Below are 17,644 nucleotides of genomic sequence, written 5' to 3'. Positions count from 1 at the left end.
CCCGCCTCAGCCTCCCAAAATGCTAGGATTACAGGCGTGAGTCACCGCGCCCAGCCCCGGGGATATATAATTTTCATTTAAGAATTTATTGAATATATTTTTCCTTAACCTTAAGCTTTTTGGTTTTACGATAATTAAATATTTACAATTTTGTTATGACCAGGAATATTGTTTCTTTATTTAAATGGTCTTTTATTTAGTATAAAAATGACTCTCAAAAATAAATGTTCTCACACACTTTCCCTATAAGGAGGGAATATCCCTGAAACTTCATACAAACTAATAAAATCCTTCTAAGTTAGATTGCCATCTGAAATTGAAGCTATTAAACTTACGTAAGAATATTGGCATATAGTATCATGCTATAAATGCCTATTAAGTTGAATTTTGGTTTTGGATGCATTATTACTGTTGAGCTGTCTTAGCTGTATCCTAGACATTGGTGAAATGAAAGGATGAGAATATTTAGGCTTAAAAGAATTTTGAGAGAAGTGGTGGGCAGGAAAGTATAAAATGGTGTAAGAGCTCTTTTCCTTGATTAAATAGGATATTTCGGGGGAAAATTTTTGCTTCATAATCTGTATATAAATGTATACAGTTTTCATCACTATGACTGTCATTTCTACATTTACAAATCAACGAGCTATGTCAGCATTTGTCCCCTATTCAACTAGATCTTTTTTTCTCTCTAAATAAGGGTGTAACTGGAGATTGACAGAATCTGGTGGGTTGCATTTGCATTATGGCGCAGTGGAAATCTCAAGCTGGTTAATTATATTTCCAGCCCACACTGTGCACTAACTACCCCCCTCCTCTCTTCTTTCTCTGATTCCCATTCACTACCTTAGAGCTAGTCATGTACATAAAGGATCCCAATGCCTAGCACAGGTCCGGAGACAAACCAATGATTGTTACTTATATAAATAAATCACCAGAGTTGCAAAAGAAGTAACAGTTGACGTTTTCATTGTCATTGACCAAATGAGTGAACTGATGTATGGGGTAATGATAAGTGGGATCCTCTGTAGCAAGGTTGTATAGATCGCTGGTGGGAAGGCTGACCTGGAGATCAGGGCCTGGAGATCCCACGCCAGGCACCAGCAACTTAAGCGTTGTGCTTCGTAGGCTGCTCTGTGAAAGTGGCCATTTTCGTCACAGAAACCCACAAATATGAGCACATTACCTTTGAGACTTGGATTTTTAGTGCGATTCTCTGCATCAGTTAAATTCACCAAATGTTTGCATAACTGAGACAAAGAAATGAAAACTCCCCTGCTGTTAATGAACTATGAAAAAGAAAGAAGCTTCTGAATATTGGTTTGTCGGTCTCTCTGTCAGTCAACGAATGTCAAATCTGATTGTGATTTGGCTAAATTGGATCCAAGACTGTTATGAGCCTTTTAGCACTGTGTGTGGAATTTCTGCAGGTTTAAATCTTTCAGAACTATTCAATCACATCACATTCAGCATTCTAGGACAAAAGCAGCAAAATGATCAAGCAAGTATACCTCAGAATTCGTGCTATCTTTACAATCTGCCAAAATCTTTAAGCAACACTAGCAAACATGTGAAGTAGGTCTAAAATTATTGACATTAATACCAATAAAATTCTGAAGTAGACATTAATAATATTTAATGAACATCAGGACGTTTGTAGAATGGACAGGTAACTGTTTCCTTAGGCTGTCTCTAGGTTAAGCAAGGAGTCCCTTCTGATAGACCTGCTTTTGAAGCAGTAGCTCTTTAATGAGGTGGTCAGATGTACTGATGGCAACTACTTCACAGTTTTTAAAAATAATGTCCACTGTGAAAATGGAGTTTTCTGTAAATGGAGTTTTCCATGAAAGTGAAAATGGCCATAAAAAAGAATGTGTTGGTCCTTATTTCTAATGGACACACAGAGGACTAAAGAGAAGGAATTAGAGACGGAGATAGTAAATGAAGCTCCTCACTGATATGATCTTCTTAAAAGAATAGAGGGAGGAAAAAACTTATGACCAGAATTACAGAATCATGGAATTCTAGCTAGGAAATACTTTAGATTTGGATTAGTATAAATATGGATAGTAGAGTTGATAAACTTTCAAAAATGTTTGGTAATTAGAATCAATTAGATGGCAGAATTTTATTCTCAAGAATCTCTGAGCAGTGTATCCGAAACCTCTAAGGATTTTCGGAACAGTGTTCTATAGTTATACTCCACTGGGACAGTTCACGAAATAAAAAAGCCCTGATACACCTTTATTATAGAAGAAACCTAGCTCTTCAATAACCCTTGCATTTCAGAGTGGATTAATTGATGCTGATGTCTTGGAAAAGCAGGCACTGAAAAACTGTGCTCAAGCAATAGAGGAACATGGAACCATGAATAGGGGCAGTAAGCCCAAGGTCTTAAAAATGATCTCCAGGGAAACCTCAGGAAATCTGAATCATCAACTTCCACTAGTCCATACGGAAGAGACTGAGACACAGAAAAAGTAAATGAATATGCCACATTTCCAAAGCACACACCTATGTATTCTACTCTAAACCTCAATCTTCTCATTATCTTCTTGTACCTCTCTTAGGAATTCCAGATGACTGTTGCCATTGAGTGCAGTTGGTCTTTCCGTACTCTTCTCCACCATTCGTTTGACAGGTTTTAATTGGGAAATGGAGTTGAAGTCAAATGTCTACCTTCTCCTTTTCGATGTGTCTGTTTTGAGGTTTTATCTTACCATAAGATCTAAGTGGTTACTTGGAATAGAGGATGTTGCAACACAGTGCTGGGTGTCATACCAGCCACTTGGCAGGCAGTTCTTAATAGCCATGGTGTCATTCTAAATCCATTGGCTTAACTTCTTGTTGTGTGGTAAATGCCTTAGAAGGAATTGCATTTTAACGTATAGGCTTTAAGATGTTGATGACTTTTGTGAGTGATTTTTCAAAGATTTTTATCTGCTTCCATGTGGTCTAAAGCCTGGATACCAAGAGTTCCAGGCTTGACTTTCATATTGGGAGTTGCCAGTAACTTGGGTATGCTTGAGGAGACATTTTCTTTTTCCATGAAAATATTCCTCAGTTCTTTTCATTTAAATAAATCAGTTGAGGAAAATGGTGGCATGAATGAAGGATGTGCCTGGACAGGTGACTTGTAATGAGAAGTCCAGGCATACTTTTGCTCAGTGCTTCCACCAGGAAGGGGGGCCTGTGATAGACAAAGGAAAACTGAGTTTCTCTGCTTCACCTACACGTGGATTCCACACCTCCCATTCTGCCTAGGAAGCTGCATAGTTGCTATTTAGTTCGGATTCCAGCCACAGACAAACTCTAAGTGCTGTGTCTAAGCAGCAGCAAGAGGAATCTGGTTCTTCTCAGAAAGTCAAGTATAATTCTGCAATGTGTCAGATGGCAGCTATCACAGGCTCTCCTGGAGGAATCAGAAAGTCTTTATCTGAAAAAGTAACAGAGTGGGTGTTGGACCTGGCCTCTGGGTCAGTGAAGACCCAAATGCTGAGGCCAGGAGAGGCCTTGAAGAGTGATGGTTGTGGCATGTGTATGAGGCTTGGCTTTTGCTATAGTCTGTTTAGACTGATCTAACCTTGGGAAAGAAAAAACACTTAATTTCTTCCTACCTCAATCTCATTTTATTTGTACATATGTTCTCTTAAGAAAACTTTTCCTCCTGGGCTAATTTAAGTGACAATGACTGCACTGAGCATGATTATTCTAAAGCAAAGTTCTTCAATTGAAGAATGGCTCATTTGACTTCTGAATACCCTTTTGTACCTGTATCCGCTAAACTTATCTAATTAATATGATGCCTTTTTAGTATGAATCCTTCTTGAACAGATAAACACCACCACCCAAGGTTGGCTTCACTTTCCTTCCCTGATATTAGTGGGATGGGCTTCCCACTCATAAAACTGAAGTTTATGATATGGCATTCACTTTTCTGAAAAACAAAAAACAAAAAACAAAAACCTGTTTTTGAATTTCTTTTTATTTTTAAATGCCAACTAACCACTGTGCAGCTGGACCGGGAAGCTTCCTGGCAGTGTGATGGTCCTGAGGAGCAATGTGGTCACTGATCAATAAAACCCCAACATGGGGAAAATAACAGGAGGGCCACTGTAATATTAGGAACGTTCATTTCAGTTTCTCTCTCATTTCTTCTAAGTCTGTGTGTTTGTGTGGCGACTCTCTATGTTCTCACACAAAAGCTTAGTGGAGTCACTGTTCTCACAAACTGCTAATGGGCCAAATTGCTGGTGCTTACAAGGAGAGATGCTGGTGACAGATAATGAAGTATCCAAGTAGTTCAAAGTGTCAAGAGAGAAAAGTGATGTCGTCACCTTGCCAGATTCATTTTTTAAATTGTATTGGTTAAGCTTGTTTTTCTTTTACCTCATTTTTGTTAATGAGAAAAATCTGGAAAAACTTAAAGGAAAACCTCCACTTGACTCTAGATTTTTTTTTTTTTTTTTTGCCCTTAACTCAGTTCTTAAATACTGAGGGTGCACAGAGGCTCTGGGGAAACCACTGACAGTGAAGTCCCTAAGGGTTTTTCCTCTCTGGGCCTGCCGGTAGCCTCTTGCCGAATAGGTGGGTTTTTATTTTGGAATAAGTAGTGCTTTCATAAGGCACTTCTTTTATGCAGTCAAATCCTCCTGGGGAAGTGACTGTCTACCTACGGTGGTGATTAGGGGATGTATTTCAGAACAGCGCAGGGCACTCCATTTAATAATACATGGAGTCCTCAAAAAATGCAGAATAAATAAAATGACTGGGTTGGGAGGGGGCGCTACAGGAGTTTTAGATTTAAAGGGAATCCTTCTGTGATTTTTTTTTTTTAGCAAAATATTGAATCTTTTTTTGAAGCAAATTATCACATCCCAATTTATCCTGTGTAAATCTGGAATGCCACATGGAGACTTGACTTTAACTGGAACACATATTCACCAAGCTAGTTCAAAGCCAATACTTCCCCTCCCCAGATAGAAAGGAAACTCCATGAAAGCAAAGTCCTTGGTGTTTTATGAGCTGCTGATGCTCGATAGCACATAGCAGGTACTCATTAAATATTTGTTGAATCCACGGAGTGAATGAAGAGGCAGATAAGAAGCTAATATTTTAAAATGTGATCAAAGAGACAAGATCCAGAATTCCTTATCAGTGTGATATTTAAAAGAGGCCTCTTTGGGTTAAAACTGGAAAGAATTTGGTTGGAGTCTTAACATAAAAGCTGAGTACTTATTTTACCCTAATGCAACCTCTCTAGACCCAGAGAATGCTTTTTACATTTAAGTAGGGCACAAACAGTATCTGCCCAGAGAAGTGACCTATGTTGGCTACCTGGGGATGTTTGGTCACGCATTCTGGTTGTCTTCCTTTCTCTGTGTCAGGACACGGTTGTAAATTCATGCACAGGTCATGAACTGTCCACACGCACATTCACAGCACTCATTTTCCACCTTCTCTCATGAAAGCCTAAATGGGCACTCATATGCGGGTGAGGAGTGGGGGGCAGCACGATCAAATGGAAACAAGGTGCTGCTGTATCTCTTACTTAGAGCGAAGCTGGGGGCAGGGGCCCCATAACATGACTCCCGCGTTCAAGTTACACCTGGGGAAAACCAGAGCCACATGTTTGAATGGCACCTTCTGAGCTCCTGTTTCCAAATTCAAGCTGAGCTGACACGTGGTGTACACGATTTCGACTCAGGAGCAGATTCCACTTAATCCACAGGGCATCTGAGTTACACGAGTACAAAATGAGAAACAGACGTGACTGCAGGTGCTTTTTGCCCTGCTCTTGCATAACAAACTCAAAGGTGTCTTTGATTTCAACAAGAAATTTGGCAGAGAGCTTGTCCATAAAGCAGTTTAATTGCACTGGGTTTTGGTAAAAGGGCTTCTCTCTCCTCCCACCTCACTTTCACCACACACATTCAAACATGCATTAAACTCCCGTTAGAAGGAGTAGAATGACTGGGTTAAAAATAAAATTTAGATTAAAGATCAACCTCAGTAACCTGTAAATTTCCCCATTCTCCCTATAAATGACCATCAGTTTTCTTGCTTTGGATAGCCTGATTTTAAATAGGTAATAATTACCCAATAGTCCAGAATGGTTCCAAATCCATTGTGTAAATAATATGGCTTTTAAATATATTAATGAGTAAATATTTAACCAATAAACCAAGGCAGCTTCAAAGAAGTTAGTCAACTCCAACGGGGACATTCTTCAGAAAGAAAAGCCTAAATAAGGATTTGTTCAACGGACCATAACCATTCATGGCTCAAAGAGGGTTATACTACTTTTGTGCCTGGAAACGTTTCTAGCAAAGTCTTCATTTCCTGGACCAAAGGATGTGTGATTTATGCGAAGATCTGCCCTCCTGTTGCCTCATGGGCTGGGACCTTTGGAGAGACTCTTTGTGTATTCTCAAGAAAGGCTTAGTATTTAGAAGGTGCTCCGTAAGTGCTGAGTGATGATAATGATGAATTAGGCTCAGGTTGGGGTCTGGGTGACTGAATGCCATTCACAGCAAAGTGGCCTATTTTGCCATCTATGGGAAGCAGGGGAAGTCTGTTTCACTTTTTTAGCATAGCCTTGCTGGTCTTGGGCAAGACATGTCTCTGGGCTAAAGTTGCCTCATCTGCAAAATGAAGTGATGGTCTAAATGACCTCCAAGTCCCCCCTCAACCCCGGTTATAATTTAGGACTCACTTCGGTGGGAAATTTGGGTTCCACTGTGTGCATTAAGAATTTTCCACAGAATAGTCTATCACAACTTAATTTTTTCCATAGACTAAAGCTTTCATGCCTGTGTGGAAATGATTGTAGATACTTTTCTGACTTGGATACCCTGAACCAGGGCTTTTCAAATTTGGGTGCACAGGCTGCCCACTGTACAACTCTAGGGGGCACCCTTCACATAGACTGTAAAGTGAATGCCAACCCCCCAACCCTAAGTTATGCAACATTGTTACCCTGCCTTGAAAATACAATATATTTTCTTTCCTGCTAGTGAACAGATTCATGATGTTAGATTTTTTTAAACTCCTGTTTGCTGAAATTCTGCCAACTTCTTCTTTCAGACTCCTTTTCTGAGAAGACTCTTTCCCTGATTCTCTTCCAAAGCCCTGATTAGAATGAAACTAACATCTATTTGAAAAGGTAATCATTCTCACTCAGATGAGTTCTGCTCTGAAAGTGAGAGGAAAAAAAATCCAGAATTGGGGCACTGCTATAGACTGAATGTTTATGTCTCCTTCAAATCAGATGTTGAAACCTAATCCCCAGTGTAAGGGTATTTGGAGGTGAGGCCTTTGGGAGGTGATTAGGTCACGAGGGTGGAGCCCTCAGGAATAAGATTAATGCCCTTAGAAAAGAGACCCTAGAGAGGTCGCTTACCCATTCTGCCATAGCAAAGGGACTGCTGCCTTATGAACAGGAAGTGTGCTGTCCCCAGAAACCAAGATTAGTGCCTTGACCTTGGACTTCCCAGTCTCCAAAACTTTGAGAAATAAATTTCTGTTGTTTGTAAGCCACCTAATCTATGGTATTTTTGTTAGAGTGGCCTAAATGGATTAAAATAGGCACCGAGGTACTTTGTAGCCCCCACACTGGCATTGTGCATGTGGGGTAGGATGGCATCAGATGGCAATAGAACATACACGTATTTTTGGTGGCCTGATGGGGTGAGTAGCCTCAATATCTTGTATATTTCCAGTATAGAAAGGAAACAGCAATAGATTTCTGTTTCTTAAAATTCTGTCAAGTGGTTTGGCTCGTGGAGCCATTCCAGCCTACGTTGCGGAGAGAGTTTGTTCTTGAACTGTGGTTAATCTCATCTCTAAACCAGCATCAGGTGTGGTGACCTCGGGACGGCACAAGCTGAATGATAGCCGACTGCTTCTCTGTTCCCACACTCTGAAGAAAAAAGACCACTGGGGTTTGCTCAAGCTAGTCCTCTCCCTTATGGGGAGCAGAATTGGACTCTTTAAAAAAACATTACTGCTTAAAAATAACAAGTCAGAGCTGAAGTGCTTCTCAGCTAATGGGTAAAAACTAGCTCTTTCTTACTGAAGTCAGATTAATATTTAAAGCCTAGATTCTGGGCTTTGAGATGTTCTCACTAACTTAGTGGAGTTTTCACCACCTGCTCCTGATGAGCGCTCTTTTTGCCAAGTGTATTCCCCTCGAGAGCAGCTTCACTTTGCTGGCAGCACTTTCAGCTCTAGGCACTTAGCTCTAGGGTGTGCAGAGTATAGAAAGCGGAGTTAACCTCCCCAAGCCTATCCAGACTGTTTAACTTTAATAATATCATTTGACATTGAAAGTTAGACCTGTCTTACCATCTGCCCTTATACCGAGCTTCTAAGAAATGATCAGCTGGGTGCCTCACAGTTCCATCACAGTCAGCCTGGTGATATTTAAGCAGAAACACAAGGCCTGAAACTCCTTCAACAACAGAATTCTGCCTAGTTAATTTCTTCTGATATTTATATGTTGCCCCTGACAAATCTCACAATATTAGTAAAAAAAAAATTTGATAACCCAGCAATGAAACCTTTTATTGACAGCCTGCTTTGTACATTACCACTAATTGCTACCTAGATCTAAATGCAATCCTATTTCTAGGATTGCAAGGTCGTGGATATTATTATCTCTGTTTTACAGTAGACGATATTGAATCTCGGAGAGGGGAAAGTATTTGCCCAAAATTACGCAGCTATTGAGTGAAGGGGATAAGATTCAAGGCCAAAGGTCCAAGCCTGGCTCCTTCCTCCATGCCATTGAGATACGCCCTTCTCCCCAGTTAGAAAAGCAAGTCCTCCTGCAATCTCCTCCCCACTCAGCCCAGCTCCTCTCCAGTCTCAGGCCTTCTTGTGGGTATAACTATTGGTATCTTCCAGTTGTCCTGTCTTCCATCTTTCCACAAAGTTCCTTTCTCTGCCTGGCCCTAATGGAAATCCAGGTTTTATCTGATGGTTCTACTTTCCTCACAGCCCTCTCTGATGGAGACTTCTCCTTTCAATGCCTTCCACCTGAATTCCCAGCCCCAAATTCACAGCAAGAGCCCAGCATGCATTGGTCACGTCTACCTTTCTGACTGCACTCTCTTTAGCAAGTTCGTCCCTGTCTTTATTCCCTTAAGCATAAATATTCTCCAGTTTCCATACTTGGCCTGTATGCCTTCTCTTTAAATACTGTCTTCTAGCCTGACCAGTGGTCCAGGTTTGCCTGGAACTGAGGGACTTCCAGGGACATGGGACTGCCAGTGCTAAAATTAGGATAGACCTAGGCATGGGTGGTCACCTTACTTGTCTCCCCAACCTCTTGTTAAAGGCTTTATAATTACCTGTAGAAATCTGACTCTTATCTCCATATCTCAGCAGCCTGAGCCTTGGGCTATCTCCTGACCTTCACATTCCTATTTCTCTCTGGTTCATGGCTATCCCCACCTGGACACTCCATCCTTAACTTCAAATCCAATGTGTGCTAGGCTAAACACAACACTTCCTCCTCGTAACCAACTTCCCTACTGATTTTCCTCTTCTTGTCAATGAACATATTTCTGCCTATCTCACTAACTTCAGTGGAAGTTTCTGGGGGCTCAGTGTCCCCCCAGGACCTAGATTTGTGGGAGACTTTGAGACTTTAAGATCTGAACTTGAATCCTAGTTTGGCAATTCCTGGTTGTACGATCTTCAGAAAGTTATTTAGTTCTCTGGCCTGAAGTTCCCTCATCTATATACTCTATATAAGAGTATGTACATCTTATTACAGGTTTTTTCAAGGCTTAAATGTACTATGTTTAGCATGATGCTTGACACACAGAAGGGCCTCAGTAAAGGACCTTGTATATAGTATGTACTCACATGTGTGGAACTGATGCTACAGTGCAATTTTTGCTCATTGTGGTCTCTCCCAGAGATATGGTTTGGTTCTGTGTCCCCACCCAAATCTCACCTTGAATTGTAATAATCCCCATGTGTCGAGGGTAGGACCAGGTGGAGATAATTGGATCATGGGGATGATTTCTGCCATGCTGTTCTTATGATAGTGAGTGAGTTCTCACGAGATCTGATGGTTTTATAAGGGGCTTCCTCCTTCACTCAAAACTCATTCTCTCTCCTGGCACCCTGAGAAGAGGTGCCTTCCGCCATGATTGTAGGTTTCAGTTAAAAAAAAAAAAAGAAAGAAAGAAAGAAAGAAAAGAAAGAAAAAGAGTTCAAGTCGCATTTGAAGTGTTAGGGATTTTAAGCAGGGGTGTGAGACAATGCATCGATGCTTTAGAAAGACCACTCTTATTACCACATGGTAGATGTACAGGAAAGGGAAAGAGTGAAAAGAGGGAGACTCTTACAGAGCTATTCAAATAGGCAGGAGCTGACTGTAGTATGAACTAGGGTTATAGCAGAGGGGTAAAGAAAAGGGTTGAATTTGTAATTTATTTTGGGAGTAGAGGTCCCATTCCTCATACAACCCATATCCTAAATTAATTTAGGACAAATGCCAACCTAGATATAGGGTGTATGAAAAATGGAACATGAAAGAATAATGGAAGGTCTTTGGACCTGAGAAGGTATGAAGTAGTGATGCAAAATATTGGGATGGAGAAGGCTTAGGACTTGGGGATAAGAGGAGAGGCTTGGGATAGAAAACCACAGTTCTGAGGAGAGGTCTGGGACTTAGTAATAGGTGAGGGTCATTTAAACTTGGGACCACATGAAATTTCTAGAGAGAGAAAGTGGAATAAGGAAAAGAGGAGAACTAAGGACACTCAGACTGACCTTGGATGGGTCACTTCATTTTCCTGAATTTCAGTTTTCTTTTAAAATGAGGGACTTTGATTAGGTCCCTAAGCTTCCCTCTCACCTTAATATCCTTAGATTCTGTAATAGAAACAAGGGCAAATACATAAATCTTCTGGATTTGAATTTAAAACTATACATTGTCAAAGTCAAACACATTCAACAATGGTTTCCTTAACAAAACAGCAATCTGTCATAAGGCCAGGCATATTCAAGACTCACTTGATTGTGAGAAGCTGATTATTGTTACATTCTTTGTTCAGGAAATGGCACTTCAAGAAAGGAATGGCTTCACTTATGAAAAGCAACTGGTTTTGTGTTGACTTTATGCTGAAATAGAAGAGCAAGGGAAGATGATGCTAAAGAGGCATGCAGTTATAAAGTGCAGACCCTTCCCACCTGTTAAGTTGAGGCCTTGATTGCCTAATGTTTTGAAGTTATTTGTGCTTTATAAAAGGAATCTGCCTAGTTATAAACAGCATGGATGTGACGGCAGCCTCAGTTTTTGATCTGGTTACTTGGCCTGTGTTAAACAAATGCCAAGGAGTTAGCAGAAGGTGAATTCCAGCTCAGAGGAGTCCATCTTGGGTAGAAGGGTTGCTATAGGATGCACTGGGTCCCTTCGCCTCTCCACAGGGAGAGCTCTAGCCCAGATGTTGCTTTCTGCCAGGAAAGTAACTTAGGATGGACACAAAGCAGAACTAGTGAGTTGGGGACTGAGGTTGAGAGGACCAATTAATCTTGGGACTTGTGTGAAAACTAATAATACCAGGCCCTGGCACTCTATTATTACTCAAGGAGCACAATGCACTTCATAAACATGGACTAATTGATTCATGCCTCCAAATTTTCCCTGTAAGGCCACTCAGTGCTCTCTTCTTTCCTCCTCCTTTGGTGACTGGGGAAGCATGCTGAGTCACAGAGAGGTAAGTTACCTCCAACCCCCCAACAAAGGAGCTGCCAGGAGATGAAAATCTCAATGCAATTCACCATCCACTCTGCTCAATATTTCCTAGTTTAATGAAAATAGTCCCAGTTACCTAGGAGACTTGGTATAACTTCGTAGATAGGCTAAAAGCACTTATGAGCTACGAAAATGCTCAGTTGTCAGCCTGATTTTTCCACCCTAGCTGAGACTTACTGGCATCACTTACATAGCTGAGTATCAGTCACATGGCTTGACTTCCCAGAGTTGGAGTAAAGATGAAATGAAAACTCTAAGGCATTTTTTTTTCCTCCCGGGATCTAGGTGCCCTCTATTTGAATATGGTGTAACCCACCAATAAGATTTGAGACCCATTCCTAATGAATTAAATCAGATGCTCTGGGCATGGGACTTGAGCACCTGTTGTTTTTAAAGCTCCCTAGGGGATTCTATTCTGTGGCCAGGGCTGGAAACCACAGAGCAGAAAGGGAAGATTCCCCACTTGTTTGCTGTGGGCGCGTCGGTCAACTTCTATGAACTTTGATTTCCTCATACATTGAGGGTTAATACTTACCTCATGGGGTTGCTGGGAAGATAAAGTGAAATGAAATAAAATGAAGCACCTTATAGCAGGCACCTAGGATTTATTCAAAAGATGTCAAGAGCCTGCTCTTCTTGACTTTACTGTTGTAGAAACATTTTCTACTTATGTGTAACCAGGATAATTTTCTATAAAATCATGATAGAAATGTAGTTCTTTATCTCAGTCAATTAAAAGACTCAAAAACAGAGACCAAAACCTCTGGCTTTGGCTTTAATCAAAATTAGTCATTAAAGCAAAACAGAGTGGCAGGTGTTGCCAGGAAGCCTCAGGCCTCAGCCTCTGTGAAGAGTGGTTTCTTTGGTTTCTATTAGGCTCTTAACTGTTCATTTCACCAAGCCTAAGCCAGATGAGAAACCGTGGCGGGACAGAGACGCTCTCTGTTAGATGGGTAGGGCTGGTTAGATCCTTACCTGCCAGGGAGGGCTGAGTGAGAAGGGTGGTCCAGGGTGGGTAAAGAAGAAGTGGTGGCCTCTTTCTTCTCAGAAAGTGGGTCTTAACGAAAGCAGAGTTCTGGCCGTGAGTATTAGTTGGCATCAGCCTGATTTTTCCTTTGCTTAATTTCATCCCTCTGCACCTCAGGGTACCCTGATGCTGGTGGCTCTCTCTTCCTGGCCACAGGAGACCTGCCAATGCTTGAGGAGCTCAGCAGTCTTGATTTGATAATAAGGCCCTCCTTTCCTGGGAAACAAGTCAGACAGTGAAATGGCATTGCCACAAAACCAACTACCATCCACACAAAGGCTTATGGCCCCTTAGGCTTCGCCCATGGGGAGAGAGCCCACCTGCAGCAAGGAAACATTTGTGGCCCCTCACAACCCATGGGCTGCACCTGGCTGCAGGCCCTCCTCAGCCATAGCTGGGATGAGCCATCAGTGGTGCAGTAGGGGCTGCCGTAAGCTCCTGCCCGCTCGCTCTCAGCAGGCTGGGGACCAGGGAAGGAACTGTGCCTCCACCCCTCGATCCTCCAAAGGGGAGCAGCAGGTGAAGAAAAGGAAAGCCTGCCTGGGGTTTTGTTAGGGTCTCTGTGTTCCACAGGTGATTCCAATTGGATTCCTTTCTGGGCCTGCTAGGAAGCACCTACCTTCATCCCCAGCTGGATTTAGTTTTGGGCAGGATGACCCAGAGTGTTGGAGACGTGGCACCATTGTGCTGGACTCAGAGCCCCCAGAGCTCCCTGTGGGGTTCAAGTATCATGGCCTGAGTTGCAATGCAGAGCTGCAGTCAAGCTTCTTGCGCTGTGTTCCTATCATTCCTTCTATGTACCAAGTGCAATGCTGGGGCGATTCTTCATTCAGCATTTATTGGGCATCTGTTATGTGTCTGGCACTGTGATGGGGGCTGAAGGTCCATGGATGAGGAAAGACACCTGCTGTCGGGGATCTCAGGGTGAGTGAGAAAGACTAATGGTGGAGCAGGTATTGATTGGTTATTAGAATGCCATCCAGTGATATAAGAAAGATCGTAGCTAGGAACAGAGTGTGTTGAAGCATGGAGGAGGGGCACCCAAGGTAACGAGATTCAGAATTTTACAGCAGGGGCCCTGGGTCAGGGACAGGGAGAGGCACACCTCCAAGGATTTACCTGAGGTTCATCAGTGCCCTGGGGCAGCTGACCAATCTCAGGGCACATCTACCCGGAGAGGGACCCAGTGGGGAAGTGGAAAGGGGTGGGGCTTGGGACAACTCCGGGGTAGAAGGCTGCCCGAAGCACAGGGCTGGTCCCTTTGTCTCTTTACCCCAAGCTGTCCTCCCAGGGAAAAAGCCTGGGGCCCACCCACCTCATTTTATTATTTTGGAAGGAGAGAAGCTACAGCACAAGGATGATGGCGGAGGCCGCTTTCGGGGCTATGTTTAGAGATTGACTCCCACGTTCCAATGGAATCATAATCAGGCTTTCAGGTGGGTGGAGCATTTGCTCGGCCAGGCAGTCTTCCTTTTGGATATGGGAACATCTCCTTCTGAACTTTGGTCAAGGAGGACCTTGGGTGTCAGCAGAAGGAAACTCGAGAAGGTTCACTTTGTATGCTTGAATAAGTCCCCGGCCTCCAGTCTGGCTGCAGCAGATTAAGACTTGTGGCCCCTTGGCATTTTCTGAAGAAATAGGATATTTTTTTCTTCCCTCCCAGACAGTTCCCTGGTTCTATAATGAGACAGTAAGATTTCAAAGTAAAAACCTATACACCTAAAATTCATCTCAGTTGAAGCCACACTAGGTTTGATGCCTGTTTACAATGACCTTGGATAATTTTGCTTCATTACTCAGAGTATTATGTTTGCATCAGGGGTTCTAAAACAATGTTACTTGCTTAAGATATGAATGAGATATGATCATTTTTCATCATAGTTTGGGCTAGTTCCATTCCTCCTGAGAATAGAAGTATGAGATGAAGATAGGTATGAGATGAGAGGCAAAGAAAAATGGGAGCCTGCATTTCCACTTTCCCCTTCCAAGGGAGCTCCAGGATGACCCAAGTTCCTTCTTTCCTTCTCTTTGTTACCTGGGATCTTTGTCCTAAATAGTCTTGGTTCATACAGCCCCAGTGCTCATTACCTCATTAAGAATAGCTGATCAGCATCACATAGAACAGTGATGAGTATAGTGTGTTATGCATGTGTAGTGGATCCTCTTGTTCTTGGCAGAGATTCTGTAGAGAACACAGAGAGGGGGCTGCTTGCTCATCCCACCATTTCATTTATAAATAGCCTAAGCCAGGGATCTATGCAGCTCAATCCTCCTTTGTTAAAGTTACCTTTGGGAGAGTTTCTGGTGTTTGCACCCTAACAGCGATTTTGCTGTCCACATAAAAGACCCTGATATACTCTGCATTCTGTGAAATTGAAACTTTGATGATAGATATCAAGAACCAAAGATGGCAAACGGTCACATTTTTCTGGCACATGGCTGGTTATAAACATCTTCTACCCCAGTTTCTAGTTACTGTCCGTCTCCTACCAGTTGACAGAATTCATCCTCTTTTCCTTGCCAGCAACATGTCTTTCACATTGAGTTGCTTATCCATTCAATGCACATTTAATCCAGTAGTTCCTATGTATCAGGCGAACAAAGATGAAAGCCCTGGCTCTGTTTTCAAGAACCCCCCAGTCCAGTGAAGATGGGGTATGCAAAATTGTTGTGTCGTACAGGGGCTGGTGTGGGTGGTAGTATAGATACACATAATATGGGTGGGGATGTGAAGGAGAGTGAGTCCGAGTGGTCCAGGGGAGCCAGGGAAGTTTCTCAGTGGAAACTACTGTGGGGGTTGACAGATGATTAGGGATTTTCTAGAAAGATTAGAGTGGAGAAAGCATTCCAGCAGCATACATGAAGGCTCAGAGCCATGAAAGAGAATGGTAGCTCCTGGGACTGATGAATAACCCTGTGTGGCTGGACTCTCAGCTCCGTCGGGAACTGCCACATGAGGCTTGGCCTCTGGGCCTGAGAGGGGCCCAGGGGCTGGCTTATGAGGGTTTATTTGCTTCCAGGGGTAATGGAAAGCTGCTGAGGGGTTTCAGTGAGCAATGGCAGGAGCAGATTGTGGTGTGATCTGTTTGACAACTGTATATGAAGTGATCAGGAGAAGAGGTGAGCCCCTCCTGCTGCTCTGTAGTGGAGCTGTGGTGTGACCCCTGATCCTGGGCACTTGTCCTTTCAGATGCTGTGAGTATTGCCTCCTGATGTCTCACAACTGAGTCCCTCTTAGAAAACTGGCTGAAGAGAGCTTCTTTTCCAAGACCATGAGGGCATGTAAAGGCTTGGTGCCCTTGCTCCAACTGAAGGGCCATCCCAGCCCCAGAGTGCCCTGTGGCATCCCCTGACTCCTTTGTCATCACTGCTTCATGGCTCAACTCCTCCTTTTGCCTCATTCTGCTTCCTTTACTCCCTTACTTATGTTATACTCAAGAGTCCTCCCTATTAAGCCACCTATAGCCAAATCACCGTCTCAGAGTCTGTTTCACAGGAACCTCAACCCACAACACTCTTCCTCAATCCAGAGAGTTGGAGGCCTGCCCCACCTCTCTCAGGTCAACTCCATTCCTCCAAGCCTTCATGACAGCGGAACAGGGGTTGAGACTTCGACACACCATGTTTTGCAGTTTCTGGTTCTTATTGTACAACAAAATCCTTCTCCAGACACTTTTGAAGATTGTGTGGAGGGGAGTGGAGGTGTCTTCACTAATTGTCCCTTGTCCTTCAGTATATGGGAAGAATAGATTTAGGCTCTTCCCAAATAAAAGGGGGAAACTTTGCTGCAATGACCAATTAGATTCATGGGTCAGTAAAATTCCACCTGGAAATTATGAATTGTTTGCTTAGCATTTGTCTCTGCTCTTAACCAATTCAATGAGAATCTCTGACTTACTATTTACAAAAGGTTTTAGAACTAAGAATGTTTTGAATAGGCATTAAATGCATATAGCAATATTCAGAAGATAAAAAGAGTTTAAGTGTGCTACTTTTCCTCCCTCCAACACCCAAAACCTCCCTTTCTCTTTATTTCTATAAACAACTCCACCCCAAACAACTACTAAGACTAGTTTCCTGGCACTTTCTTTTTAAAGGTGAAAAATGTATTTTTTCCATTTTTTTTTCTGGTGAATTGATTTCCATTGATGAGGACTCGATATGTAAAGGCTGGGAGCCAGGTGTGTTGTAAATTGAACCGATCTATTTCTCAGGCTGTAGCTAATTTATAGATTTTCAGTGTTAGAAGAGTCATTAATAGATGTTCAGTTTGAGAAACCTTTTCTAATTTCCCTCAGGAAATCTACTCACTTTGAGATGCTATGCTTTTATATATATATGTTTTAAGATATTCTTTCATTTTTAATGTTAAACATAGCTTTTATTTTTTCATTATAATATCAGAATACATTCATGCTTGACATATCAAAAAATGTAGATAAGCCCTACCTATACTACCACTATCCAGAGATAGATAAACACCTATACTTTGTTCTATACTAGAACTTTCTCTGTGTGTATGTATACATATGCATATATATTCTTTTAAAAAATAGGATCACACTATAGTAAGTTTTTCAATCTGTTCCTCTCTACTATTCAGTGAATATCTTTCCATTTTAATAAATAATCATTTCAACAATTTGAGCTGCCTTATCTTATAGTTTGTATGAATTAGAGTAACCTGGCTGCTATTATAAAACACTCAATCTGTGATGAATCCACACAGAAGTTTATCTCTTGCTCTTGTACGAATCCTGAATATGCATAGGCCAGAAGGGCAGCTTTTCTCCAAGTGGGTATTCAAGGGCTCAGGTCATCCGAGGCTAATCTGTTCAACATGTGGC

General features: G+C 42.2%; 2 long non-coding RNA genes across 3 annotated transcripts in view; both read left to right on the top strand.

Moving 5' to 3' along the window:
• Positions 1-17,644, top strand: part of LOC105379013 (uncharacterized) — a 406,546-nt gene that overhangs the window by 80,243 nt on the left and 308,659 nt on the right. The gene's annotated exons all lie outside the window — the stretch shown is intronic.
• On the top strand, positions 6,222-7,536 carry LOC124900991 (uncharacterized). Its single transcript, XR_007058807.1, has 2 exons — positions 6,222-6,459; positions 7,084-7,536. It is a non-coding gene; the product is annotated as an uncharacterized LOC124900991 (long non-coding RNA).

This window comes from Homo sapiens, chromosome 5 (assembly GCF_000001405.40).
Source record: "Homo sapiens chromosome 5, GRCh38.p14 Primary Assembly".
Lineage (NCBI taxonomy): Eukaryota > Metazoa > Chordata > Mammalia > Primates > Hominidae > Homo > Homo sapiens.
This window is presented reverse-complemented; position numbering and strand designations above follow the sequence as displayed.